The sequence below is a fragment of the Homo sapiens genome, chromosome 16 (assembly GCF_000001405.40).
Source record: "Homo sapiens chromosome 16, GRCh38.p14 Primary Assembly".
NCBI lineage: Eukaryota > Metazoa > Chordata > Mammalia > Primates > Hominidae > Homo > Homo sapiens.
This window is the reverse complement of record NC_000016.10, coordinates 81,131,155-81,158,643: the sequence shown is the minus strand read 5'-3', so window position 1 is coordinate 81,158,643 and position 27,489 is coordinate 81,131,155. Positions and strand designations below refer to the sequence as shown.

Below are 27,489 nucleotides of genomic sequence, written 5' to 3'. Positions count from 1 at the left end.
GGGGGTGACTGTGAGCTCGCGGGGGATTGGGGGTGGCCATGTGGGTGTGAAGCACAGGCACAGATGGCAGCCCCTGCCCTGGTTCACTCCGGTCCCCTTGCTGCCCGGCCATGTTGTCCTGCACCACAAGGCACCACCTGTGTAAGTGCCATCACACCTTCTTTGTGCCACAATGCCAGCTTAGGACTCAAACCTGTGTCCTTCTCTTTTTCTTCTTTTTCTTCCTGTGGTTCCCCCAGGTTATTTTGCTTTTCGGCATAAGCTGACCAACTGTCCCGGGTTGCCCAGGACTGAAGGAGCTCCTGGGACTCAGGACTTTCTGTTTGAAAAGCAGGAAAGGCCCTGGCAAACTGGGATGAGTTAGTCACACCAGTGTCCTCTCAGCACCTAGCCTGTTGCTGGATGTAGAATTAGCACCCCACAAATATTTGTCCTGTGAATGAGCACCAGGTGCACCACGGGGGTGAATGCCAAATTTGTGATCCTGGTTGCCTATAGGGGAAGAGGGACAAAGGAGATCTCAAATTTACTTGCCATATATATGTATTTTTTTGAGACAGGGTCTCTGTCGCCCATGCTGGAGTACAGTGGCGTGATCTCAGCTCACTACAACCTCTGCCTCTGGGGTTCAAGCAATTCTTGTGCTTCAGCCTCCCAAGAAGCTCAGATTGCAGACGCGAATCACACTGTGGTACACGCCTGCAATCCCAGCACTTTGGGAGGCTGACGCAAGCAGATCACTTGAGATCAGCCTGTTTGAGACCTGCCTGGCCAACATGGCGAAACCCCGTCTCTACTGAAAATACCCAAATTAACCGGGTGTGGTGGCGCTTGCCTGTAATCTCAGCTTCTTGGGGGACACAGGCATGAGAATTGCTTCAACCCAGCAGGCAGAGGTTGCAGCAGTGAGCCAAGATTGTGTCACTGCACTCCAGCCTGGCCGACAGAGTGAGATCCCGTCTCAGAAGAAGAAAAAGAAAAAAAAAGGAAAGCAGACTGGCAACATATACACAGTTGTCCACTGAGAATGATGGACACAAAAATATAAATAATATTATCTCCATATTTTAATTAAATAAAAAATATTGGCCAAACACAGTGGCTCACTCCTGTAATCCCAGCACTTTAGGAGGCTGAGGCGGGCGGATCATGAGGTCAGCAGATTGAGACCATCCTGGCCAACATGGTGAAACCCCGTCTCAACTAAAAATACAAAAAAAAATAGCTGGGTGTGGTGGTGCATGCCTGTAGTCCCAGCTACTCGGGAGGCTGAGGCAGGAGAATTGCTTGAACCCGGGAGGTGGAGATTGCATTGATCCGAGATCTCGCCACTACACTCCAGCCTGGCAACAGGTGAGACTCCATCTCAAAAAAAAAAAAAAAAAAAAAGATCAAAAGGGGCTTTTGAAGCTGGTCTCCCAGCGGTCTTCCCACCACACACCCCAGCAGAGTGTGCACTCTTCAAAGCGAACACCGTTCTCCTCCCCTGGGCTCGAGCGAGCCGGGGTTGAGCTTCCCGAGCGTCTCCACTGACAGCCCCTTTATGGGTTGTAGGTGGGGCCTCGGACCAGCCCCTACCAGACACACTGCCTCTGCAACCACCTCACTTTCTTCGGAAGCACGTTCCTGGTGATGTCCAATGCCATCAACATCCACCAGACTGCTGAGCTCTTTGCCACCTTTGAGGACAACCCTGTGGTCGTGACCACCGTGGGCTGCCTGTGTGTGGTCTACGTGCTGGTGGTGATCTGGGCGAGGAGGAAGGACGCTCAGGATCAGGCCAAGGTGAGGCTGAGAACCATTGGCGCTGCGTACACCGTCCTGGAGAAAACTCCATTGTTTTCAAATAATATTAGGCTTCACGAGAAGAGGGTATTTGTCTACTTAAGATTTTTTCCAACCGGGCGCGGTGGCTCACGCCTGTAATCCCAGCACTTTGGCAGGCCAAGGTGGACGGATCACCTGCGGTCAGGAGTTGACCAGCCTGGCCAACATGGTGAAACCCCATCTCTACTAAAAATACAAAAATTAGTTGGGCGTGGTGGCATGCACCTGTAATCCCAGCTACTCAGGAGGCTGAAGCAGGAGAATCACTTGAACCTGGGAGGTGGAGGTTGCAGTGAGCTAAGATTATGCCACTGCACTCCAGCCTGGACAACAGAACAAGACTTCATCTCAAAAAAAACAATTGTTTTCCAATGTATGCAGTATGCCTGACACATACATAGTAGGCCTTCAGCCAATATTTATGGCTATCTGAAGAAGAGGTAATGAATGAATGCAAGGTTGCATTGTCACAGAGCTGTGAAACTCTATCCGTTCCTACCCCTTCCCCCGAAGCAACATCACTCAGGATTTCATGTGGGTTAAATTTAATAAGATAATGTTTCAGCATTGATACTGCTGTCTTTGATTCACCCAAGAGATTAAGCATTAATACTTGAAGTGCCTCTGCTGTAGGTTGGTTCCCAGGAAGCAGACTCCGATGCAAAGGTGAGCATGCAGAGTGTGCAGGGTGTTTATTAAGGGGGCCTGGGACCTGCACCTGGGAAGGGAGGGAAGGAGGCAGCATGCGCAGAGAGAGAAGCTGAGCTGTGATGTAGCCCAGTGACAGCCCGGCCCAGACCCTGGGGAGCACCGGAGCTGTCCCAAGTCGGGTTGAGATACCCAGGTCTTGACCACACCCAGACACTCCGCCTATTGGTCATTGGGTGCTGGCTGCCCCAAGGGGGCACAATCTCAACAGAGGTAGGTGTTGCATTTTTTACCCCATTAACTGAGGCAACGAACCCTGCGTGGGAGGGGGATCTGGGCAGCGCATTCAGAGTCGACTATAGCCTCTGGCCAACTCTGGCTAACTCTGGCTAATTTCTTTTTCTTTTCTTTTTGCCAAACTCTTTAAAAATTTTTGTTAATTCTTATGGGCACATGGTAGGTATATATACATATGAGATATATGGGACATTTTGATACAGGCATGCAGGGTGTAATAATCACATTGGGATAATTGGGGTATCCATCTCCTCGAGCATTTATCCTTTGTGTCACAAACAATCCGATTATACTCTTTTAATTATTTTTAAATGTACAATTATTATTGACTGTAGTCACCCTGTTGTGGTATAAAATACTAGATCTTATTCATCTTATTCATTCTTTTTTTTTTTTTTTTTTTGACCTGGAGTCTTGCTCTGTCACACAGGCTAGAGTGCAGCGACGTGATCTCAGCTCACGCAACTTCCACCTCCTGGGTTCAAGCAATTCTCCTGCCTCAGCCTCCCGAGTAGCTAGGATTACAGGTGCCAGCCACCACGCCCAGCTAATTTTTGTGTTTTTAGTAGAGGCAGGGTTTCACCACATTGGTCAGGCTGGTCTGTAACTCCTAACCTCAAGGGATCCACCCGCCTTGGCCTCCCAAAGTGCTGGGATTACAGGTGTAAGCCACCGCGCCCGGCAGACATCTTACTCATTCTTTCTAATTTTGTACCCATTAACCACCTCATCTTCCCCCCCATTCCCGCCCCCACTACCTTTCCCAGCCTCTGCTGACCATCATTCTACTTCCTATCTCCATGAGTTCATTTGTCGCTAAACTATCTTAACGTTTCATTTCTTTTAAATTCCCTCAAAAACACCACCTGGTTCCAAATGTTATGAGAAATTATACATGTACAGAGTATGTATGGTTCACCAGGTCAAACATTCAATGTTCTCAGCTTATCAAGTTCATTTCCAATTGGACTACATGGGGGTCATATCTCATAAAGAATGTACTTTGGGGCCGGGCGTGGTGGCTCACGCCTGTAATCCCAGCACTTTGGGAGGCCGAGGTGGGCAGATCACTTGAGGTTAGGAGTTTGAGACCAGCCTGGCCAACATGGTGAAACCTCGTCTCTAACTAAAAATACAAAAATTAGCCAGGCATGGTGGCACACGCCTGTAGTCCCAGCTACTCTGGAGGCTGAGGCAGGAGAATCACTTGAACCCGGGAGGCAGAGATGGCAGTGAGCTAAGATCACGGCACTGTACTCGAGCCTAGGCAGCAGAGCGAGACCCTGTCTGAAAACAAAAAAAAAAAAGGAAGAAGAAAAAAATGTACTTTGTGTTTTTTTATTTTCCGAGCGTTTTGCACTTGAAACCCTGCTTTTATAAAGAACAGTTCTCACCCGAGGGGATGAATAAATGGCACATGTAATTTTGCTTTGCCCAATTCATGATTATCACAAATCATCAGCTCCTTCTTGGCTGGTGGGTGATGCAGGAACCCACTGAGCAAGGCCTTCCTAATGCTGTCCTTCTCTTCAGGTGAAGGTCACAGTGCTGGAAGACAATGATCCCTTTGCTCAGTACCACTACCTGGTGACAGTCTACACAGGACACCGACGAGGGGCAGCCACGTCCTCAAAGGTACCTGCCTATGCAAGATCCACTGATTAATCAGCACATCCCACCCAGCCCTGCTATGCCACTGTGGAGTTGGCCACTTCTGGTCTCTGGATTTCAGGTGACTGTCACCCTGTATGGCCTGGATGGAGAGAGAGAGCCCCACCACCTGGCTGATCCCGACACTCCGGTTTTTGAGCGAGGAGCAGTGGATGCCTTCCTCCTCTCCACCCTGTTCCCCCTGGGAGAACTGCGGAGCCTCCGGCTGTGGCATGACAACTCAGGGGACCGGCCATCGTGGTGAGTTGGGGGCAGACAAACCTTGAGAATCTACAGAGTGACAGGCCCAGGGCTGGGCACTGTACATTTGCCTCCTTCCTGATCTTCGCAAGCCTCCGCAAGACACATAGAATGATCTCTGTTTCACAGATGAGGAAACTGAGGGTCAGAAAAGCCCACTGGTTCATGGTCCACACAAACTGGATCGGTAGCTAGGAAAAGGACTGGAAGCTACAGCTAGCCCCATCTTCAGTGCTAGCCCCACCCTTGGCCCTTTTGCAGCATCAACCTGTGACTTGCCCAAGGTCACACAGCTGGCAAGTTTGGAGCAAGGTTCTCTGCATTCTGAGGCCAAAATGAGTGACCCAGATGAGTGGTGTCCAGTCTGACCACCCATCAGTAGCTGGCGGCTTTAGAAAAACAATAGCACTTTAATTCACCTATGGGATTAAGCATTAATATTTTAAGCGTGGCCGCTGTAGGTTGCTCCCGGGAAGCAGGCTCTCAGATGGAGTTGCATATGCAGGGTGTTTATTACAGGGCCCTGGGACCAGCACCTGGGAACAGAGGGAAGGAGGCAGGATGGCAGAAAAGTCAAGCTGTGATGCAGCCCAGCAACAGTGTGGTCCACCACTGGGGAGCTCTGGAGCTGTCCCAAGTTGGGTTGAAATACCCAGGTCTTGATCCCTGTAGGTACTGCATCACTGGATGTCAGCTGCCCCAGAAAAGCCTGTGACCTTGACATAGGTGGCTTTTGCATTCCTACGGGGCTGCCCTTCCTGAAATGAGAAAATGCATATCAAGAGCATCTTAGCATAGCCCCCGCTATGTAGTAAATTCTCAGTGAAGAGCGGCTATTGCTATCCCTACTGTTCTTTTTTTTTTTTTTTTTTTTGAGACAGAGTCTCACTCTGTCACCCAGGCTGGAGTGATGGCACAATCTCGGCTCACCGCAACCTCTGCTTCCTGGGTTTAAGTCATTCTCCTGCCTCGGCCTCTTGAGTAGCTGGTATTACAGGCATACGCCACCATGCCCAGCTAATTTATTTATTTATTTATTTGTATTTTTAGTAGAGATGAGGTTTTACCATGTTGGCCAGGCTGGTTTCAAACTCCTGACCTCAAGTGATCTGCCCACCTTGGCCTCCCAAAGTGCTGCAATTGCAGACGTGAGCCACTACACCCAGCCATCATTGCTGTTCTTGTTGGCTGTATAGCAACAGGGAAAACTGCTGCTCGATCTGACATCACAGGATAGGCAAGATAATTTCAATTCTTCCCCATACCTCAAAGACCTAAATCAGGTTAGAAGATACCCACAAAGTCCTCAGCCCAAGATAGACGGTGATTCTTTGGTTAGAAACGCAAGAGAGGAGGCCAGGCGCGGTGGCTCACGCCTGTAATCCCAGCACTTTGGGAGGCCGAGGTGGGTGGATCACCTGAGGTCAGGAGTTCGACACCAGCCTGACCAACATGGAGAAACCCTGTCTCTACTAAAAATACAAAATTAGCCGGGTGTGGTGGTGCATGCCTGTAATCCCAGCTACTCGGGAGGCTGAGGCAGGAGAATCGCTTGAACCTGGGAGGCGGAAGTTACAGTGAGCCAAGATCACTCCATCGCACTCCAGCCTGGGTGACAGAGCAAGATTCTGTCTAAAATTTAAAAAAAGAAAGAAAGAAACGCAAGAGAGGACCATGTTCTGCGTACCCCAGCCTGCACCTGCCTGAACATGCACACTTTACACAATTTGGCTTTACTTGCTCATGCCTGGACGCTGGCCCTGAGCTTGGTGCCATGTGTACAGGTTAATGGTCTCCGAATGCATCCTTTTGCAGCATCTTTGTGGAAACATGGCAGCTTCCCAGAGTTGGCTCTCTACAGTAGCTGACCTCCTTATGTGACGCGAATTTTAATTAAGGCACCAAGAACAAAGAAAAATATGGTTTCTTTTTCTGAGGAGCTCTTGTTCTTTGGGTTCATGTTTGCAAAACTGTTACCTTGGTGATGTCCAGTGAAGTCTCCTCCCCTGCTCCACCTTATCCTCAAAACTCTGGGTCCCTTCTCCAGGTATGTGAGCCGGGTGCTGGTCTATGACCTGGTGATGGACCGGAAGTGGTATTTCCTGTGCAACTCCTGGCTATCCATCAATGTTGGAGATTGCGTCCTCGATAAGGTGTTTCCTGTGGCCACGGAGCAGGACAGAAAACAATTCAGGTACTTTATTTTTGTTTTCTTTATTTTTAAGATAAGGTCTTGTTCCGCCACCCAGGCTGGAGTGCAGTGGCACGATCACAGCTCACTGCAACCTCTACCCCCCTGGGTCAAGCAATCCTCTCACCTCAGCCTCTTGAGCAGCTGGGACTGCAGGCATGCACCACGATGCCTCACTTTCTTTTTCTTTTTTTTTTTTTTTTTTAAGTAGAGACGAATCTTTGCTATGTTGCCTAGGATGGTCTCGACCTTCTCAAGAGATCCTCCTACCTCAGCCTCCTGAGTAGCTGAAACTGTAGACATACACCACCATGCCCAACTGTTTTTGTAGAGATGGGGTTTCACCATATTGCCCAGACTGGTCTCAAACTCCTGGGCTCAAGGGATCCTCCGTATCAGCCTCCCAAAGTTTTGGGGTTACAGGTGTGAGCCACTGTGCTTGGCCATGCCTGGGATTTTTTTTTTTTTTTTTTTTTTTGAACAGAGTCTCTGTCACCCAGGTTGGAGTATGGTGGCACGATATTGGCTCACTGTGACCTCTGCCTCCTGAGTTCAAGCAATTCTCCTGCTTCAGCCACTCAAGTAGCTGAGATTACAGGTGCATGCCACCATGCCTGGCTAATTTTTGTACTTTTATTAGAGACGGGGTTTCACCACATTGGCCAGGCTGGTCTTGAACTCCTGACCACAAGCAACCCTCTCTCCTTGCCCTGCTAAAGTCGTGGGATTACAGGAATGAGCCACTGCACTCCGTCATGCCTGGGATTTTTAACCACTGTACTCCAATGATCTAACTGTAACAAAACTAATAGTATTTTAGCTATATTATTATATTAAAATTACAGCAAAAATAACAATGCTGACACTGATTGAATATTGACCTATATGCCAGCTACTGCCCCAAATGCTTTACAGAATCATCACTTTTATTCCTTTCAACAATCCAGTGAGGTAGGTTCTGTTATTATTACTTGCCCCAATTTACAGACAAGTCATCTAAGGTACAAAGAACAAAGTAACGTGCCCGAGGTCACACAGCTGGGAAGAGGGCCGTCTGTAATTCTAATCTGACTTCCAGAGCCTTCATTGTTAACTCTAAGTGATGCTGCTAAGATGCTGTGTTTCTTCTATTAAAAAAAAAAAAAAAAATTGGGGGGGGAGCCGGGGACGGTGGCTCATGCCTGTAATACCAGCACTTTGGGAGGCTCAGGCGGGTGGATCAAGGGGTCAAGAAATCGAGACCATCCTGGCCAACATGGTGATACCCCGTCTTTACTAAAAATACAAAAAAAAAAAATAGCTCACACCTGTAGTCCCAGATACTTGGGAGGCTGAGGCAGGAGAATCACTTGAACCCCAGAGGCAGAGGTTGCAGTAAGCCAAGATCATGCCACTGCACTCCTGCCTGGCAAGAGCAAGACTCCATCCGAAAAAAAAATGTGGCTAGGCGCGGTGGCTCACACCTGTAATCCCAGCGCTTTGGGAGGCCAAGGCGGCCAGATCACTTGAGATCAGGAGTGTGAAACCAGCCTGGCCAATGTGGTGAAACCATGTCTCTACTAAAAATACAAAAAATTAGCCAGGCGTGGTTGTGGGCACCTGTAATCCCAGCTACCTGGGAGTTTGAGGCAGGAGAGTTGCTTGAATCTGGGAGGCAGAGGTTGCAGTGAGCCGAGATCGTGCCATTGCACTCCAGCCTGGGTGACAGAGCAAGACACAAGACATTATCTGAAAAAAAAAAAAAAAAAAAGTGTGAACAATCTTAGAAACAAATCTCTGCCGCTCTTCCTGCTTCTCATCCCAAGAACGACCCACAGAGACCAGTTTCCCCCATTCCTGTCTCCCTAAATGCCTGTCCCTCTCTCCCTGCCTGCCTGCAGCCACCTGTTTTTCATGAAGACTTCCGCGGGCTTCCAGGATGGACACATCTGGTATTCGATCTTCAGCCGCTGCGCTCGCAGCAGCTTCACCCGCGTCCAGAGGGTGTCCTGCTGCTTCTCCCTGCTGCTGTGCACCATGCTGACCAGCATCATGTTCTGGGGGGTCCCCAAGGACCCAGCTGAGCAAAAGATGGACTTGGGTAATTCCCAGTGTCATGGAGGTCAGGGTTAGTGGCTGGTGGACCTGAGCCTTCACTGCTCCAGCAATGCCACTGCCATTCCAGAGTCCCCAAGACCGCCCTCCAGTTCAGTGATCCACTAGCAGGACTTACAGAACCCATTGTACTCATAGTTATGGTTTACTGCAGTGAAAGGATACAGCTGGCACGGTGGCTCACGCCTGTAATCCCAGCACTCTGGGAGGCGAAGGCAGGTGGATCACCTGAGGTCAGGAATTTGAGACAAGCCTGGCTAACATGGTGAAAACCCATCTCTACTAAAAATACAAAATTAGCCGGGTGTGGTGGTGCACACCTGTAGTTCCAGCTATTCAGGAGGCTGAGGCAGGAAAATCACTTAAACCCAGGAGGCGGAGATTGCAGTGAGCTGAGATCTCACCATTGCACTCCAGCCTGGGTAAAAAAATGCAAAATTCCATCTCAAAAAAAAAAAAAATAAACAAACAAACCAAAAGAACAAAAAACACAGAAAGGATACAGATTAAAACCAGCAAAGGGAAGAGACACATGGAGCAGGGGCCAGAAGAGACCAGGCACATAGCTTCCAGCATCCTCTCCCAGTGGAGTCGTGGATGGTGCTGACTTCTCCTGAGGATGTGTGACAGTGCACATGGAGTATTGCCAACCAGGGGGACTCACTCCAGCCTTGCAATTCACAATTTTTTTTTTTTTTGAGACAGAGTTTTGCTCTTGTCATCCAAACTGAAATGCAGTGGTATGATCTCGGCTTAATGCAACCTCTGCTTCCCGGATTCAAGCAATTCTCCTGCCTCAGCCTCCCGAGTAGCTGGAATTACAGGCACCCACCACTATGCCCAGCTAATTTTTGTATTTTTAGTAGAGAAGGGGTTTCACCATGTTGGCCAGGCTGGCCTCCAACTCCTGACCTCAGGTAATCCACCCACCTTGACCTTCCAAAGTGCTGGGATTACAGGCATGAGCCACCATGCCCAGCCACTATTCAGAGCTTTTACTGGGGCTCCAACATATAGGCATGGCTGACACCCACTTGGCTGCCCTTCGCCTCCAGCCCCTCTAGAGGTCAAGCTGACATCATATGGTCTAGGCCCCCACCTAAATCTCATCATTAGCACAGACCATCCGGTGTGACCCAAGACCCTAGGGAAACAAAGACATTCTTAGCAGTTGGGAACTTCCAAGGGCTGAGCGGTGACCTCCCAGGCGTTGGGCAGGGTTAACCCTTCACTGCACAGCCAGCTTCCACAAGGGGCAGAAGGGACTGGGCTCCGGGCGGTGGCCTCTCCCTTTGATCCCTTCCTTCCCTTTCCCCAGGTAAAATTGAATTCACCTGGCAGGAGGTGATGATTGGCCTGGAGAGCTCCATCCTCATGTTCCCCATCAACCTCCTGATTGTTCAGATCTTTCAGAACACCCGTCCCCGGGTCGCGAAGGAGCAGAACACTGGAAAATGGGACCGGGGGTCCCCCAACCTGACTCCCTCCCCACAGCCCATGGAGGACGGCCTTCTGACACCTGAGGCAGTGACCAAGGCAGGTCCTCAACCTCAGCTAGCCTGGGGGGTGCTGTAGCCTCAGCAGAAGTGGGGGTGAGGCCTGGGGCTTGAGACCCAGCAGCCCTGTGTTGCCTGGCAACGTGAGGTGCCAAAATTCATCAACTGAAGACACACATACACATGCAACATGCATGCACCCATGCATCTGTACACACATGCACACACAAACACACAGGTGCACATATGCATACATGCACACACATACACAGAGAGACACACAGACATGTACATACACATGCACATGTGCACACACGCATACACCCACATACTTTTTGAGTATCTACTGTGTGCAAAGAATTATGCCTTCATGGTAGACTCCCAGGCTGGAAGCCCATGGACGAGACTCCCCGCTCTGCGTTGATGCATTCAGTAAGCTTTCATTGAGCACCTACTGTGTGCCACGCTTTGAGGAGTACAGCCTGGAATGAGTTCAAACCCTAGAAGAGGGATTCAAGAGCTGACAAATGGAAGCTCAGGGAGGTCACTATCACATCTCAGTGGGCAGAGCAGGGGTCCCTACACAGGTTGCCAGGCCCAGGGCGTGTGCTCTTGACCCCTGTGCTGCACCCCTCACCTTGGCTTATGGCCCCTTTCCCCACCAGGATGTGTCAAGAATCGTCAGCTCCCTCTTCAAAGCTCTCAAGGTGCCATCCCCCGCCTTGGGCTGGGACTCAGTGAACTTGATGGACATCAACAGTCTCCTCGCCTTGGTGGAAGATGTCATTTATCCACAGAACACATCAGGGCAGGTGTTCTGGGAGGAAGCCAAAAAGAGAGAGGACCCTGTAACACTCACTTTGGGGTCATCAGAAATGAAAGGTAAGCCCTGGACATGTCTGTGCCAAGAGAAGCCGCATTTTGGGGCCGGGTGGAGACACAGCAAAGGGGTACATCAGCATCACTAGGGGAACAAGAGGTCTCCCTCACCAGCCTCTGCTTGAACCACCGGCCATCCCCTCCCTCTGTATACCTCAGGCACCTACTGTCCCTACAATGCCAAGCTGCCTTCCCACTAACAGCCTTCACACAGGCTGGTCCTTTAGTCTAGAATGTTCTTTCTCCTCTCTTCGCCAGGCCAATACCTACTGAAATTTTAGTTTTGGCTTAAGCATTCCTTCTTCAGGGGAGCAACCCAAGCCTCTAACCTACACTAGGGCCTCTGACCACGCGCTCTTTAGCTCCCTAAGTTTTTTTTTTTTTTTTTTTTTTTTTTGAGATGGAGTCTCGCTGTGTCGCCCAGGCTGGAGTGCAATGGCACAATGTCAGCTCACTGCAAGCTCTGCCTCCCAGGTTCATGCCATTCTCCTGCCTCAGCCTCCCGAATAGCTGGGACTACAGGCACCTGCCACCACGCCCGGCTAATTTTTTGTATTTTTAGTAGAGACGGGGTTTCACCGTGTTAGCCAGGATGGTCTCAATCTCCTGACCTCGTGATCCATCTGCCTTGGCCTCCCAAAGTGCTGGGATTACAGGCGTGAGCCACTGTGCCCGGCCAACTCCCTAAGCTTCTTGCATTCAACCTGTTTGTGGCCAACTAATGAATCAGGTGAAAATTGTTTAAAGCTTGCGCCATCCTTCCTGGAATGTAAACTCCGTGAGGTGGGAGCCGTCCATCTGTCTTTTGTCTCATCTCCACTAGGAAGAACCATGTCTGGGTCCTGGCTCTGCCACTAGCCGGCTGTGTGACCGTGGACAGGTGACCTCCATTCTCAATGCCTCGGTGCCTTCTTCTGTAGAGTGCTGGGGTGCAAAGCTGAACTCGATCCGTGCCTGAATATGTGGGGCAGGAAGCAAGATCACAGTCAGGGCAGCAAAAACCATTAAGGAACATGGAATTGCAGACTGGAAAAGTTATTCCTTTCTCTATTCGTTTTCAATCCTCCTAATTAAGCAAATGGCTGGGAGCACTGGCTCACGCCTCTAATCCCAGCACTTTAAGAGGCTGAGGCGGGAGGATTGCTTGAGGCCAGGAGTTCGAGACCGGCGTTGGCAACATAGGGAGACCCTGTCTGTACAAAGAGTTTAAAACTTAACCAGGTGTTAGCCAAGCACGGTGGCTCATGCCTGTATTCCCAGCACTTTGGGAGACCAAGGTGGGCAGATCACTTGAGGTCAGGAGTTCGAGACCAGCCTGACCAACATGGTGAAACCTCATCTCTACTAAAAATACAAAAATTAGCTGGGCGTGGTGGTGCACATCTGTAATCCCAGTTACTTGGGAGGCTGAGGCAGGAGAATCACTTGAACCCGGGAGGTGGAGGTTGCAGTGAGCCAAGATCACACCACTGCACTCCAGCCTGGGCAACAGAGCAAGACTCCTTCTCAATGGGCACCTGTAGTCCCAGCTATTTGGAAGGCTGAGGTGGGAGGATCCCTTGAGTCTTTTTTTTGAGTTTGAGGTTACAGCAAACTGGTTTGAGGTTACAGGTGCCACTGCACCCCAGCTTGGGTGACAGAGCAAGACCCTAGCTCTAAAAAAAAGGGAGAAAGTCTCAGTTTGGTGCGACTATGTCTTTAATGCCTCTCTAACACTCCTTAATCTGTTTGACAGAGATAAAAGATCTCAAATTCAGAGGTTTTTCCAACAATATCCAGCTAGAACCCAGTAACATTGTTTTCTTTTCATTAAACAAATGTATATATGGCATATTATTCCGGTTTCAACTAGTCTCCTGGTTCCCTTCATGCCCCTTTCCTGTCCATCTTCCCATTTAGAGCGGTGCCATCCAATAGAACTTTCTACAGTGACAGAAATGTTCTGTGGAACATGGTGGATAGTTATGTGGGTTTAGAATGCTACCATTTTTAATACACAAGGGTGGCCACTATCTAAACCTTGTTTAGAACACGAAAGTATGGTTTATAGAATAAGCAATTTGAATTCATAATTCTTGGCCCCACCCCTGATAGAGTTACTTGCCCCTGTAGTCCCAGCTACTCAAGAGGCTGAGGCAGAGAATCGCTTAAACCTGGGAGGTGTAGTCAGCAGTGAGCTGAGATCACATCACTGCACCCCAGCCTGGGTGACAGAGCAAGACTCCATCTCAAAAAAAAAGAAAAAAAAAAGAATTTGCCCCAGAGAGCTGGGTTTGGGCTGCTTATGGAGGTCATCCCTGCTTCCACTAGATCCTTGACTTTGAGTTTGGGAGTTTTAGCATTCACAGCTGGACACACTGGACCTTAAGAACATGAACTCTGGAGTCGGCCAGAACCTTGGGATCTCCCAGCTGCAGTAGCAGCGGTGCAACTTTAAACAAGTTGCTCAACCTCTCTGAGACTTCATTTCTTCCCTTAGAAAATAGAGGTGTTGGCTGGGCGTGGTGGCTCACGCTTGTAATCCCAACACTTTGGGAGGCCGAGGTGGGCAGATCACCTGGGGTCAGGAGTTCAAGACCAGCCTGGTCAACATGACAAAACCCCATCTCTACTAAAAATAAAAAAATTAGCTGCATGTGGTGGCACACGCCTGTAGTCCTAGCTACTCGGGAGGCTGAGGCAGGAGAATCACTTGAACCTGGGAGGTGAGGCAAGAGAATCACTTGAACCTGGGAGGTGGAGGTTGCAGTGATCTGAGATTGCACCACTGCACTCCAACCTGGGTGACAGAGCAAGACTCCTGTCTCAAAAAAAAAAAAAAAAAAAGGGGGTGTGTTAAAAATTAGCTGGGCGTGGTGGCACATACCTGTAATTCTAGCTACTTGAGAGGCTGAGATAGGAGGACTGCCTGAGCCTGGGAGGCAGAGGTTGCGGTGAGCCAAGGTTGCACCACTGCATTCCAGCCTGGTTGACAGGGTGAGACCGTGTCTCAAAGTAAAAAAAATATAAAATAGGGGTATTGATCCACCTAGCTCGTTGGCTTATTGTGAGGGCTGAATAAGATTGTAAGACATGTAAAGTATTTAGATCCCAGCCTGACACAAAGCAGGTATACAGTAAGTGGTGTTATGATTGGCAGTGATGTTATCTTTCAGAAACATTAGCAGAAGCCCTGCAAAATAAAGTGTTGACTTGGAATCTTCAGCTGAGGCTTCAGTGAGGGAGCCCAGTCAGGAGGGTGAGGGAGGAGGCTGTGAGTCAGAGGAAGGTAGGAGTTGACCTCACCATAGCCATTTACCCAACACCCTAACCTTATCTGAGTCAGGGCTGGAGATGCATATACCTGGCTGTAACCAAAATGCAGATATAGTTGCTTGCCATTTGCAGAGTCCAGTTAATCAGAGTGAGATCTGGTATTTAAAAAGTGACTCTTGACCGGGAGCGGTGGCTCACGCCTGTAATCCCAGCACTTTGGGAGTCCAAGGCGGGCGGATCACGAGGTCAGGCGATCGAGACCATCCTGACTAACACGGTGAATCCCCGTCTCTACTAAAAATACAAAAAATTACCCCGGTGTGGTGGCGGGTGCCTGTAGACCCAGCTACTAGGGAGGCTGTGCCAGGAGAATGGCGTGAACCTGGGAGGCGGAGGTTGCAGTGAGCCGAGATCGCACCACTGCACTCCAGCCTGGGCGACAGAGTGAGACTCTGTCTCAAAAAAAAAAAAAAAGTGACTTTTTTATCTGGGCATGGTGGCATGTGCCTGTAGCCCCAGCTACTTGGGAAGCTGAGGTGGGAAGATCACTTGAGCCCGGGAGGCAGAAGTTGCAGTGAGCCAAGATCACGCCACTGCACTCCAGCCTGTGGGACAGAGTTAGACCCTGTCTCAAAAAGAGATAGAGGTCGGTGGGTGGAGAGAGAAAGAGAAGTAACTTTTTATTCCAAAGCTAGCTTAGGGGAAGAAGTACAGGCTTCCTGACTTAAGGATATCACTACACCTCTGAGGCAGAAAGCAGGGATTTTAAAAGGAGACTTGGCATGAATGGCGGGGAGGAGAGGAAGCAAGCCAGTGGGGGTCGGCGTAACGCACTTCAGTGAATTAGAATTATCTACCAGGAGGTCCAGCTTGCACCTTCCTGGGCAGGGCTAGCCTGTACAAGTGGCTGAAACTCTCAACATGAGAGACAGTTTCGTCGGAGGCGTTCTTTGGGTTGCAGATGGACTGCTGTCTCTCAAGGCAACCTCCAGGTGGGATAGTGCTCTGCCTTGGAGATGCTAAGCACAGTTAGAAAAGCTTGTCCTGTAGGTGAAGGGAAGATACAAGATTATAACTGCATTTCTTCTTTTTTTTTTTTTTTTTTGAGACGGAGTCTCGCTGCGTCATTTTGATCATTTTGACGCTGTGTCGCTGTGTGGCTTCATCTCATCATTTGCTCTAATTTTATATGTTTGAGATGTTTCATAATTTTTAAAAAAGCTAAAAACACAAGATTAAGGATTACACTGTATTGGCCGGGCGTGCTGGCTCATGCCTGTGATCCCAGCACTTTGGGAGACTGAGGCTGGCCGATCCCCTGAGGTCAGGAGTTCAAGACCAGCCTGGCCAACATGGTAAAAATCCGTCTCTACTAAAAATACAAAAAAAAAAAATTAGCTGGGCATGGTGGCGGGTGCCTGTAATCCCGGTTACTCAGGAGGCTGAGGCAGGAGAATCACTGGAACCTGGGAGGCGGAGGTTGCAGTGAGCTGAGATTGCGCCACTGCACTCCAGCCTGGGCGACAAGAGCAAAACTCCGTCTCAACAACAACAACAAAAAAAACAAAAAAACAAAGGGACAGGATTACACTATATTTGGCACTAGACAAAAAAGGGTTCAAATTCAAGTCTTACCATATTAAAGTATTTGCTTTAAAATACTCTGGGCCCAGGGGGTGGGGGAGTCGGGGGGTGAGGGCGGGCACTGTGGCTCACGCCTGTAATCCCAGCACTTTGGGAGGCCGGGGCGGGCGGATCACCTGAGGTCAGGAGTTTAGAACCAACCTGGCCAACATGGTGAAACCCCATCTCTCTACTAAAAATACAAAAACTAGCTGGGCGTGGTGGCGTGCGCCTGTAGTCCCAGCTACTCAGGAGGCTGAGGCAAGAGAACTGCTTCTAGAACCCAGGAAGTGGAGGTTGCAGTGAGCTGAGATAACACCACTGCACTCCAGCTGGGGAGACAGAGTGAGACTTCACTGCAAAAAAAAAAAAAAAAAAAGCTCCAGGAGAAGAAAAGAGATGAGACAAGACTGGCCAAATGTTGGTCATTGTTGTAGCTGGAGTGATGAGTATGGGATTCTCCTCTGTTCTCTTGATGTGTAGGGAAATTTGAAGAATGACTCTGATAAAAATCTAAAAGAGAAACATCGAATCCTAACTGGCTGTGTGACCCTAAAACCTTACTCCGTCTCTTTGAACCTCAGATTTCTCAGGGCTTGGCACATAGCAAGCATTTCATACTCAGAAGCTGGTACTATTACTGTTGTGTTTTGTGGGGGGAGGTTTGTTTGTTTTGTTTGGAGACAGGATCTGGCTTTGTTGCCCTGGCTGGAGTGAAGTGGCGCCATCATAGCTCACTGCAGCCTCGCCCTCCTGGGCTCCAGCGATCCTCCTGCCTCAGTCTCCCGAGTAGCTGGGACCACCTGCGCATGCCGCCCCACCTGGCTGTTGTTTGTATTGCAGCTGGTTTGCTCTGTGACTCAGCACAAGCTGATCGCTTTCTTCTTTGTCCTCCAGAGAAATCACAGTGTCCCAAGCCCAAGGCGGCACGGAGTGGCCCCTGGAAGGACAGCGCCTACAGGCAGTGTCTGTACCTTCAGCTGGAACACGTGGAGCAAGAGCTGCGGCTGGTGGGGCCCCGAGGCTTCTCCCAGCCCCACAGCCATGCCCAGGCCCTCAGGCAGCTGCAGACCCTGAAGGGCGGCCTGGGGGTACAGCCGGGCACCTGGGCCCCTGCACATGCCAGGTAATCCACTTCCCTGGGGGCTGAGTGGGTGCCTGCCTGCCCCAGCCTGGGGCCGTCTGGAAAGGGCATTCTGAACAATCTTGGAAGGATGTCCACCCAGACCTTGCCAGGCAGAAACAATGCAGGATTCCTGCACACATTCAGGGAGGCCGGGTTTGAACAGGTCTGTTTGCTGGAAGGCACTCAGGGCCCTTTGTACCGCATGCTACAGTCACAACGGTGTTCCTGTGGGCTGTTTCCCATCTGTGCACTTCACTCTTGGACCGGCTCCTCAACTTCTCAGGCTTAGTTTCCTGATCTTTAAAATGGGAATGATGACGCCTATCTCTTGATTCAAACTTAAAACAAAATGCATTTTTTAAGATAACCAGTGAACTTTGAATACAGACAGGTTACTAGGTGACATTTAAAAATTACTGTTAATTTAGCTGTGTGAAAACAGCATCGTAATTCAGTAAGAAAATTGCCTTTTTTTTTTTTTTTGAGACAGAGTCTTGCTCTGTCACCCAGGATGGAATGCAATGGCGTGATCTCGGCTCACTGCAACCTCTGCCTCCTGGGTTCAAGTGAGTCTCCTGCCTCAGCCTCCCCGAATAGCTGAGATTACAGGTGCCCACCACCACGCCCAGCTAAATTTTGTATTTGTGGTAGAGATGGGCTTTCACCACGTTGGCCAGGCTGGTCTCGAACTCCTGACCTCAAGTGATCCACCTGCCTCAGCCTCCCAAAGTGCTGGGATTACAGGCGTGAGCCACCACGCCTGGCAAAAATGGCCACTTTTGAGATGCATTCTGAAGTGACTAGGAATTATTTTGTATTATGTCTGGAATTTATGTTGAAATTTTCCAGCCAAAAACAAAAACAAAACAGGGCTGAGGGGCAGATGAAATAAGTGTGACAAGGGGTGATAGTGGTTGCCAGCTAATAAACACCTGGGTATTCACTGTGCTCACTAATTTTTGTATGATGAGAATTTTCTTTCTTTTTTTTGAGACAGAGTCTTGCTCTTGTTGCCCAGGCTGGAGCGCAATGGCACGATCTCGGCTCACTGCAACCTCCACCTCCCGGGTTCAACCAATTCTCCTGCCTCAGCCTCCCGAGTAGCTGGGATTACAGGTGCCCGCCACCACGCCCGGCTAATTTTTGTATTTTTAGTAAAGACGGGGTTTCGCCATGTTGGCCAGGCTGGTCTCGAAATCCTGACCTTGTGGTCCGCCCTCCTTGGCCTCCCAAAGTACTGGGATTACAAGCATGAACCACTGCACCCGGGGGGAGAAAACTTAAAACAAGATTCTATGGTATCTGCCTTCTAGGCTTGCCCTGAGCAATAACAGAGCAAATCTGTGTGTAGCATTTAGTGCGGGGACTTGCCCCTACTAAGCACTGAGTAAATGTAACTGCTTTTACTCCACAGACTATGGCATAGACCTTTGAGATAGGTATAGATTACAGAGAAGGAAACAGAGGATCTGAGAGGTCCAGGAGCTTGGCCAAGGTCATGCTGATCAGAGTAGAGTGGGGTTTGACCTTGAGATTGCCTGGGGGTGTGGCCACCCTAACTATGTCTGTCCACCTCCTTTGCAGCGCTCTTCAGGTGAGCAAACCCCCTCAAGGCCTGCCCTGGTGGTGCATCCTGGTGGGCTGGCTCCTGGTAGCGGCCACCAGTGGCGTGGCGGCCTTCTTCACCATGCTCTACGGCCTGCACTACGGGAGGGCCAGCTCCCTCAGGTGGCTCATCTCCATGGCTGTCTCCTTCGTGGAGAGCATGTTCGTCACCCAGCCCCTGAAGGTCAGGACCCTGCCTCAGGCACCCGCCCTCCTCCCCTCCACCCATCCCTTCCCTACTGCCAGCAGTCTAGTCCCTGGGCTTTTATTCCTTTATTTATATATTCAACAAATGAACCTGGAGCACCCCCTCTGGGCAGGCCCAAGGCAGGAAAAATAGCCCTATCATATTACCCGAGGTTACCCTTGCCCTAGGGTATACATATATATGTATAAATAATACCCTATTTCCTCAATGTTAACATCCATTTGATCTTGAGACAAGACAACAATTTATGTAGCTAGTTATTCATTTTTTTTTTTTTTCTGAGTCTGCTTGCAAGGGAAAAGACAGCAATTTAAAGGAATTTTCCCTTTGGAAAAAACACCAAGTCATTATATGTGTGCCTGAGTTAGAAGCTACACTCCTATTTCTGAGATGTAAAATTACGCAAAAGAACTTGTTAGAGTTGAAGAAATTCTGGCTCGGCATGGTGGCTCAATGCCAGTAATCCTAGTATTTTGGGAGGTTGAGGTGGTAGGATCGCTTGAGTCCAGGAGTTTGAGGCTGCAGTGAGTTGTGATTGCGCCACTGAACTCCAGCCTGGGCGACAGAGCAAGACCCTGCCTCAAAAAAAAAAAAAAAAAAAAAATCCTTGGTCAGGCAGCTCCCATGAGACCAGCTCCTGGTGATCTGTTAGCCTGGGATGGTGGAAAGAAAAAAAGAAAGAAAGAAAGAAATCCTAAATCCAGGTGTAGAGCAGAGGAGGCAAGGGGCACAGTTTCCCTTGGAAGGAGTCGGGCAGTGGGCAATCCCTGGGGAACCCCTAAGGGGAAGAGATACTGGATTGGGGTGTAGGGGAAGCCACCGAAAGGAGGAGATATTTAAAGCAAATCTTGGTTGGGCGCGGTGGCTCACGCCTGTAATCCCAGTACTTTGGGAGGCTGAGGTATGTGGATCACTTGAGGTCAGGAGTTCAAGACCAGCCTAACCAACATGGAGAAACCCTGTCTCTACTAAAAATACAAAGTTAGCCAGGTGTGGTGGTGCATGCCTGTAATCGCAGCTAATCCCAGCTACTCAGGAGGCTGACGCAGGAGAATCACTTGAACCCGGGAGGCAGAGGTTGCAGTGAGCCGAGATTGCGCCATTGCACTCCAGCCTGGGCAATAAGAGCAAAACTCCATCTCAAAAAAAAAAAAAAAGAGAAAAAGATTACAAAATTAGTCGAGCGTGGTGGTGGGTGCCCATAATCCCAGCTACTAGGGAGGCTAAGGCAGGAGAATCACTTAAACCCAGAAGGCGGAGGTTGCAGTGAGCCTAGATCATGCCATTGCATTCCAGCTGGGGCAATAGAGCAAGACTCCATCTCAAAAAAAACAAAGCTCATCTTTACACCTATGGGACTTTGCCAAATCCCCTCTCGTCCCCCATTCTTCCCTGAACAGCCTTTACCATAAGACTCAAAAAGCATCCGACACCTCCCTTCAACACTAGGCTCGCAGGATACTAAGAACAGGGCTGCGTCTTGAGCCTTTCTGTTCCCCAAGTGAACCACAGGATCCTCCTGTGTTTGTGTGGAGCAGGCGCAGAGATCACGTGGCTGAGGCCTTGCAGCTGAGACCCTGCACCTGAGCGCATTACTTAATACTGGAGGAAAGGGAAGGAGCAGGGTGGGGCAGGATCCCTGTGCTGAAAGCCCTGGGGGAGAGCAATTCTCCTTGCGGAGAGATCAGAGACCCCTCAGACAGGTGAGCGGTAGTAGGTGGGAAGGCTCAGGGGAGTTCTAGGACTGGCCAGTCCCCCATCTGGTCTGCGAGCCAAGGCCTTGCGGTCCAGCTTCATGACCACCTCCCATCTCTGCAGAAGGGAGCTGCATTCCCCCAAAACACAGGGCCCTCCCCAACATACAAACGTGGCCCCAAGCCCCACGTGCTCGCAGATGAGGGGTTGAGAGTTACCAGAGTGGGTTCGAGGACCTCCCTGGGTATTTTTCAGGTGCTGGGATTCGCTGCTTTCTTTGCACTGGTCTTGAAGAGAGTGGACGATGAGGAGGATACTGTGGCCCCGCTGCCAGGACATCTGTTGGGCCCAGGTAATGTGCCTCGGTGGCTGGAGGCAGGGTCTGGCCAGCTGCGGCCCTGATGAGGCTCAGTGAGCCCTGCAGAGTGCAGCCTGTTGGGGGTCCTGGGCCTTGGGCCAGCTCCCCAGACCTTTGTTCCTCATCAGCTTTTCACCCCCAGTTTGTGAGCCATCCCCAAAAGAGCCAGGAAAAAAGTGACTCCATTGTCTCCTGAGTATCTGTGTTTGTTCGTTCCCTGGCATTTCTCCATGACACCCAAGTATGACCTGCCAGCTAGAAGAGTTGCCTCAGGGACGAAGCTGTCCACATGGGCGGTCCTTCTCTGTGTAATTCCAAGCAAGCAGCTTTCTTCTCCGAGACTCAGGGCCCTGGGCTTTAGAACAGAAACTAAAACAAGAATCGGTTTACAGGAGGCTGCAAAAAGTGGCCGCAAATTAGAATTTTAGGACAAAGCTCTGCAAACTACAGCTGGGGGGCCACATGTCTCCTGCTGCCTGTTTTTGTAAATAGAGGTTTGTTGAAATACGGCCACACTCACCCCTGCTCTAGGAGGCCACTGGCCAGTCCCCATCCTCCCAGCCTGACTTCTCACTTCCCAACCAAAATTCCCAAGGGTGGTGACAGTAATGACAAAACAAACATGCAAATAAAACTGAATCAACGTGGAATCATTGAGGCAATGGTCTTGCCTTTCAGGGAAAATAAAATAGAAACAAACAAACCAAATGCCATGCACGTGCCTCACAGTGCAATGTGGCTACCTCTTCAGGGCCTGTATTCTTCCATTCCAGGACAGCGTTTTAGATTTGCAGATCTGAGAGGTCCATTAAAATCTTCTCAATTCTCCACAGAGATGCTAGGCTCCAGACCATTAAATATTCATTCAGTCACCCCTTTGGCAAGTCCTCAGGGAGCACTGGCTGCGGGCCAGGCCTTGTGATGGCTTGGGAATATAATTTACATAAAATTCACCCATTGTAAGTGCACAATTTGTTGATTTCAGTAAATGTATAGGGTTATGTAACCATCACTGCAATTCACATTTAGAAGAGCTTCGTCAGCCCAAAAGGTTCTTTGTTGCCCATGTAAAGTCAATCCCCACTTCCAACCCCAGTCCCTGCCAACACAGCACAGGTTGCTGCCTTTGGAATGAACAGCCCATTTGGGGAGATGGCATCAACCAGGTAAATGCACAAGTAGACATATAAGTGTGAATTATGGTAAGAAATAGGGTTGGGGAAGATCAAGAGAGGGCAGGCCTCTCTGCTGCGGTGGTGCCTAACCTCTCTGCTGAGAACGGGGGAAGGGAAGGACTGCACACTCAGCACCTGCAAAGGCCGCGAGGTGGGACAGTGGTGTCGTTTTATTGCAGCCATTTTATAGCAACCATTGACAGTGTGTCTGGAGCATGTTGAGTTGGGGGTGGGGGAGAATGGTTAGAGATAAGGGTAGAGGGGGTGGGCAGCAGGTTGTCAGGGTCTTATAGGAGCTGGGGCAAGGCTGGGATGTGGAAGGGCTTTACATATGAGAATGATGATCTGTTTTATGATTTGTGTGTGTGTGTGTGTGTGTGTAAGAGAGAGATGGAGTCTTGCTCTGTTGCTCAGGCTGGAGTGCAGTGACGTGATCTCGGCTCACTACAACCTCCACTTCCCAGGTTCAAGCGATTTTCCTGCCTCAGCCTCCCAAGTAGCTGGGATTACAGGCACCCACCACCACGCCCGGCTATTTTTTGTATTTTTAGTAAAGACGGGGTTTTGCCATGTTGGCCAGGCTGGTCTCGAACTTCTCACCTCAAGTGATCCGCCCGCCTTGGCCTCCTAAAGTGCTAAGATTACAGGCGTGAGCCACCGTGCCCAGACTGTTTTGAAAGAACAGGAGGCAAGGCCCAGTGGCTCATGCCTGTAGTCCCAGCACTTTGGGAGACTGAGGTGGGCAGATTACTTGAATTCAGGAGTTTGAGACTAGCCTGGGCAACATGGGGAAATCCCTTCTCTACCGAAAATACAAAAAAATAGCCGGGCATGGTGGTGCATGCATGCAAACCCAGCTACTCGAGAGGCTGATGTGGGAGGACTGCCTGAGCCCGAGGAGGTCAAGGCTTCAGTGAGCTGTGATTGCACCTCCGTACTCCAGCCTGGGCAACACAGCAAGACTGCATCTCTACAAAACAAGTAAAATGAAAAACATTTTATTTTTATTTTTTTAATTTTTTTTATTAAAAAAATTTTTTTTTTTTGAGACAGAGACTTGCTCTGTCACCCAGGCTGGAGTGCAGTGGTATGGTCTCGGCTCCCTGTGTAGCAGGACGAGCCGCAGACAAAACTCCTCAGACACCGAGTTAAAGAAGGAAGGGGTTCACTCGGCCGGGAGCATCGGCAAGCCTCCTGTCTCAAGAGCCGTGCTCCCCAAGTAAGCAATTCCTGTCCCTTTTAAGGGCTCACAACTCTAAGGGGGTCCGTGTGAGAGGGTCCTGATCAATTGATCAAATGGGGTACGTGACTGGGGGCTGCATGCACCAGTAATCAGAACGAAACAGAACAGGACAGGGATTTTTACAATGCCTTTCCATGTAATGTCTGGAATCTATAGATAACATAACCGGTTAGGTCAGGGGTCGATCTTTAACTACCAGGCTTAGGTCAGGCAGGCCCAGGCCTGGTTTCAGGTCTGGTTCCTTGGTTTCGGGTCTAGTTCTTAGGCGCCGGGCTACCTGCCTTTAGTTTCGCTTCTCTTTCCTTTTTGAGTATAAAACAATATAAAGCAATATGAGAGGATCCGTCTCTCTTCTCTTACCTGCAACCTCCACCTCCTGGGTTCAAGTGATTCTCCTGTCTCAGCCTCCTGAGTAGCTGGGATTACAGGCGTGCACCACCACGTACGGCTAATTTTTGTATTTTTAGTAGAGATGGGGTTTCACCATGTTGGTCAGGATGGTCTCGAACTCCTGACCTCAGGTGATCCGCCTGCCTCAGCCTCCGAAAGTGCTGGGATTACAGGCTTGAGCCGCCATGACTGGCCTTAAAATGAAAAATAAATAAAAATTTAAAAATTTAATTTAAATTGATGAGGCTGGACACGATGACTCATGCCTGTAATCACAGCACTTTGGGCGGCCGAGGCAGGCAGATCACTTGAGATCAGGAGTTCGAGACCAGACTGGCAAACATGCCGAAACCCTGTCTCTACTAAAAATACAAAAATTAGCCAGGCATGATGGCACGTACCTGTAATCCCAGCTACTCGGGAGGCTGGGGCAGGAGAATTGCTTGAACCCGGGAGGTGGAGGTTGCAGTGACCCGAGATTGTACCACTGCACTCCAGCCTGGGCAACAGAGTGAAAATGTGTCTCAAAAAAAAAAAAAAATTAAAATTGAAGCTAAATTTGAAAAAATGAAGATACTAGGTAACAGACATGAGAGGACTTTGAGATATTTGTCACCCTCATCCTCGAATCCATCAGTTTTGGAGTGTCGGGGAAGGCAGTGCAGGGGCCAGAAAGATTTCAGGGAGGGGAAGACACCTCTGTGCTTTCTCTATGGAGAGTCCTCCAGATGGAGGAGGCGTGGGACTCTAGGCCCTGGGAGAACATGGACAGAGGTGTGGAGGGTAGAGTTGGGAAACGACTCCCAAGGAAGAGGAACGCAGAGCCCATTGCAGCAGGTGAGAGAGGGGCCTATGGTTGCAAACGCAGAGCCTGTCCTCCTCTGCACACGTAGGGGCTGTCCTGGTGTCCTTCCCTCCACAGACCCCTATGCCTTGTTCCGAGCACGAAGAAACAGCAGCAGGGATGTCTACCAGCCACCTCTCACCGCTGCCATTGAGAAGATGAAAACCACCCACCTCAAGGAACAGAAAGCATTTGCCCTCATCAGAGAAATCCTGGGTAGGCATCCTTCCCACTCGCTGGCTCTCAGCACAGCCTGAAACAGACAGACACCCTTACGGTGCTATTTTTGATAAGTCCCGCTCGTCTTTTGGGCCTCAGTTTCTCTGGATATCAGCACACTCCAGCTTCTCCCCTACACTTAAAATCCTTCGGTCGCCTCTCATGACCCTTACGACAAAACTCAAACCGGCTCCTGTGGCTCTACCCGCTTCAAGTGCCCGCTCCCGGCTCCCGTGACCCACGTTGTCCTCACATTGGCTTCTATAGCACCTGCGACCTGCACCCTGTCCCCACCCCAGGCTTCTGCCCAGGCAGTTCCATCTCATCGGCCTGGAGTCTGCTCACTCCTCCTCCCCAGCTTTTCTTCTGCCTAATTCCTCTTATTCTTATTTATTTATTTGTTTATTTTTTTTTTGGAAACAGAGTCTCACTCTGTCACCTAGGCTGGAGTGCAGTGGCACGATCTCGGCTCACTGCAACCTCTGCCTCCGGGGTTCAAGCCGTTCTCTCGCCTCAGCCTCCTGAGCAGCTGGGATTACAAGCGTGCGCCACGATACCCGGCTAAATTTTGTATTTTTAATAGAGACAGGGTTTTACCATGTTGGCCGGGCTGGTCTCGAACTCCTGGCCTCAGGTGATCTGCCTGCTTTGACCTCCCAAAATGCTGGAATTACAGGCATGAGCCACCATGCTCGGCCTTTTTAAAGATTTTTAATTTTTTTTTTTTTTTTTGAGACAGAGTTTTGCTCTTGTTGCCTGAGCTGGAGTGCAATGGCACGATCTCAGCTCAATGCAACCTCCGCCTCCCGGGTTCAGGCAATTCTCCTTCCTCAGCCTCCCAAGTAGCTGGGAGTACAGGCATGCGCCACCATGCCCAGCTAATTTTGTATTTTTTTTGTTAGAGATGGGATTTCTCCATGTTGGTCAGGCTGGTCTCAAACTCCCGACCTCAGGTGATCTACTCGCTTCCGCCTCCCAAAGTGCTGGGATTACAGGCATAAGCCACCACGCCTGGCCTAAGATTTTTAAATTTTTTATTTAATTTTTTATTTTATTTTTTAAGATACAATTTTACTCTGTCATTCCGACTGGAGTGCAGTGGCACAATCCCGGCTCACTGCAACCTCCGCCTCCTGGGTTCAAGCGATTCTCCTGCCTCAGCCTCCGGAGCAGCTGGGACCAGAAACGCACACCACCATGCCCAGATAATTTTTGTTTTTTTGGTAGAGACAGGGTTTTGCCATGATGGTCAGGCAGATCTTGAACTCCTGACCTCAAGTGATCTGCCCTCCTTGGCCTCCTAAAGTGCTGAGATTACATGCGTGAGCCACTGGGCCTGGCCTAATTCCTCATATTCTTTAAATCTCAGCCTAAACACTGTGTCTGCAGCGTGGCTTCCCCGGCCCAGCTGGTCAAAAGCCTTCACACCTCAGGGAGCCTCTGAGTCTGGATTTCCCAGAGCAGATTTGGGTGCAAGTAGCTGATTTGGGAGGTAGTCCTGGAAAGCACTGGTTGGAGGAGAAAGGGCAGCAGAGAGGGAAGGAAGCCAACAGAGGGTACCTGACAGGTGGGTTTTAGGTGGGCCACTGGGATTCAGTCCCACTGTGGACCTTGGAGAGAGCATATAGTGCACGCCCCCAAAGTGTCCTACTCATTGGCATCCATTCAAGTCTTCTGAGGTGGTTGCAGGGAGAGGGGAGAGTCTTGGAATACAGATTCCCAGGCCCAGGAACCAGAGGTTCCGGTTCACTAAGAACCTGATCCCTCATGTTATTGTGATGTCCACCCCCCCACACTAAATATCTGCACCTAAAGGATCCTCTACGTCACACTCACCTGTCTCCAACGAGACAGGTGAGCACCATGAGGGCAGGAACGTGTTTGTCTTCACCACCATACCCTCAGCCATGCAACGTGGCAAATGCCCCATTTTTTAAAATTCTATTTAAGAAATGCTTAATGTAGCAGACACTCTTTTTTTGTTTTTTGTTTTTTTATGTTTTTTTCTGAGATGGAGTCTCTCTCTGTCGCCCAGGCTGGAGTGCAGTGGCACGATCTCGGCTCACTGCAACCTCTGCCTCCTGGGTTAGAGCAATTCTCCTGCCTCAGCCTCCCAGGTAGCTGGGACTACAGGCGTGCACCACCATACCCGGCTAATTTTTGCATTTTTAGTAGAGGGGGGGTTTCACCATGTTGGCCAGGCTGGTCACGAACTTCTGACCTCAGGTGATCTACCCGTCTTGGCCTCCCAAAGTGCTGGTATTACAGGCGTGAGCCACCATGCCCGGCCTGCAGACACTGTTTTATGTGATTTCTAATTTTTTTTTTTTTTTTTTGAGATGGAGTCTTGTTCTGTCACCCAGGCTGAAGTGCTGTGGCATGATCTCAGCTCACTGCAACATCCG

At 49.8% G+C, this 27,489-nt stretch overlaps 1 pseudogene across 1 annotated transcript in view, besides 3 other annotated features; it reads left to right on the top strand.

The window, feature by feature from the left end:
• Positions 1–27,489, top strand: part of PKD1L2 (polycystin 1 like 2 (gene/pseudogene)) — a 119,520-nt pseudogene that overhangs the window by 61,751 nt on the left and 30,280 nt on the right. The window contains exons 24-34 of the transcript NR_126532.3: positions 1,555–1,785; positions 4,306–4,407; positions 4,505–4,683; positions 6,731–6,877; positions 8,755–8,954; positions 10,287–10,504; positions 11,130–11,346; positions 17,119–17,347; positions 18,932–19,136; positions 21,111–21,207; positions 24,944–25,081. The product of NR_126532.3 is annotated as a polycystin 1 like 2 (gene/pseudogene), transcript variant 1, non-coding (transcript). The remainder of the gene's footprint in view (positions 1–1,554; positions 1,786–4,305; positions 4,408–4,504; positions 4,684–6,730; positions 6,878–8,754; positions 8,955–10,286; positions 10,505–11,129; positions 11,347–17,118; positions 17,348–18,931; positions 19,137–21,110; positions 21,208–24,943; positions 25,082–27,489) is intronic.
• Positions 33–533: an enhancer, noted in NCBI's record as "H3K4me1 hESC enhancer chr16:81191716-81192216 (GRCh37/hg19 assembly coordinates)". NCBI's record gives its function as "activates a minimal SCP1, AML or CMV promoter by ChIP-STARR-seq in primed H9 embryonic stem cells {active_cell/tissue: H9 hESC(primed)}" and the evidence as "EXISTENCE:reporter gene assay evidence [ECO:0000049][PMID:30033119]".
• Positions 18,906–19,200: an enhancer, noted in NCBI's record as "tiled region #3111; HepG2 Activating DNase matched - State 8:EnhW, and K562 Activating non-DNase unmatched - State 13:Ctcf". NCBI's record gives its function as "activates a minimal TATA promoter and a strong SV40 promoter by Sharpr-MPRA in HepG2 cells, with weaker activation in K562 cells {active_cell/tissue: HepG2 | K562}" and the evidence as "EXISTENCE:reporter gene assay evidence [ECO:0000049][PMID:27701403]".
• Positions 20,481–21,098: an enhancer, noted in NCBI's record as "H3K27ac-H3K4me1 hESC enhancer chr16:81171151-81171768 (GRCh37/hg19 assembly coordinates)". NCBI's record gives its function as "activates a minimal SCP1, AML or CMV promoter by ChIP-STARR-seq in primed H9 embryonic stem cells {active_cell/tissue: H9 hESC(primed)}" and the evidence as "EXISTENCE:reporter gene assay evidence [ECO:0000049][PMID:30033119]".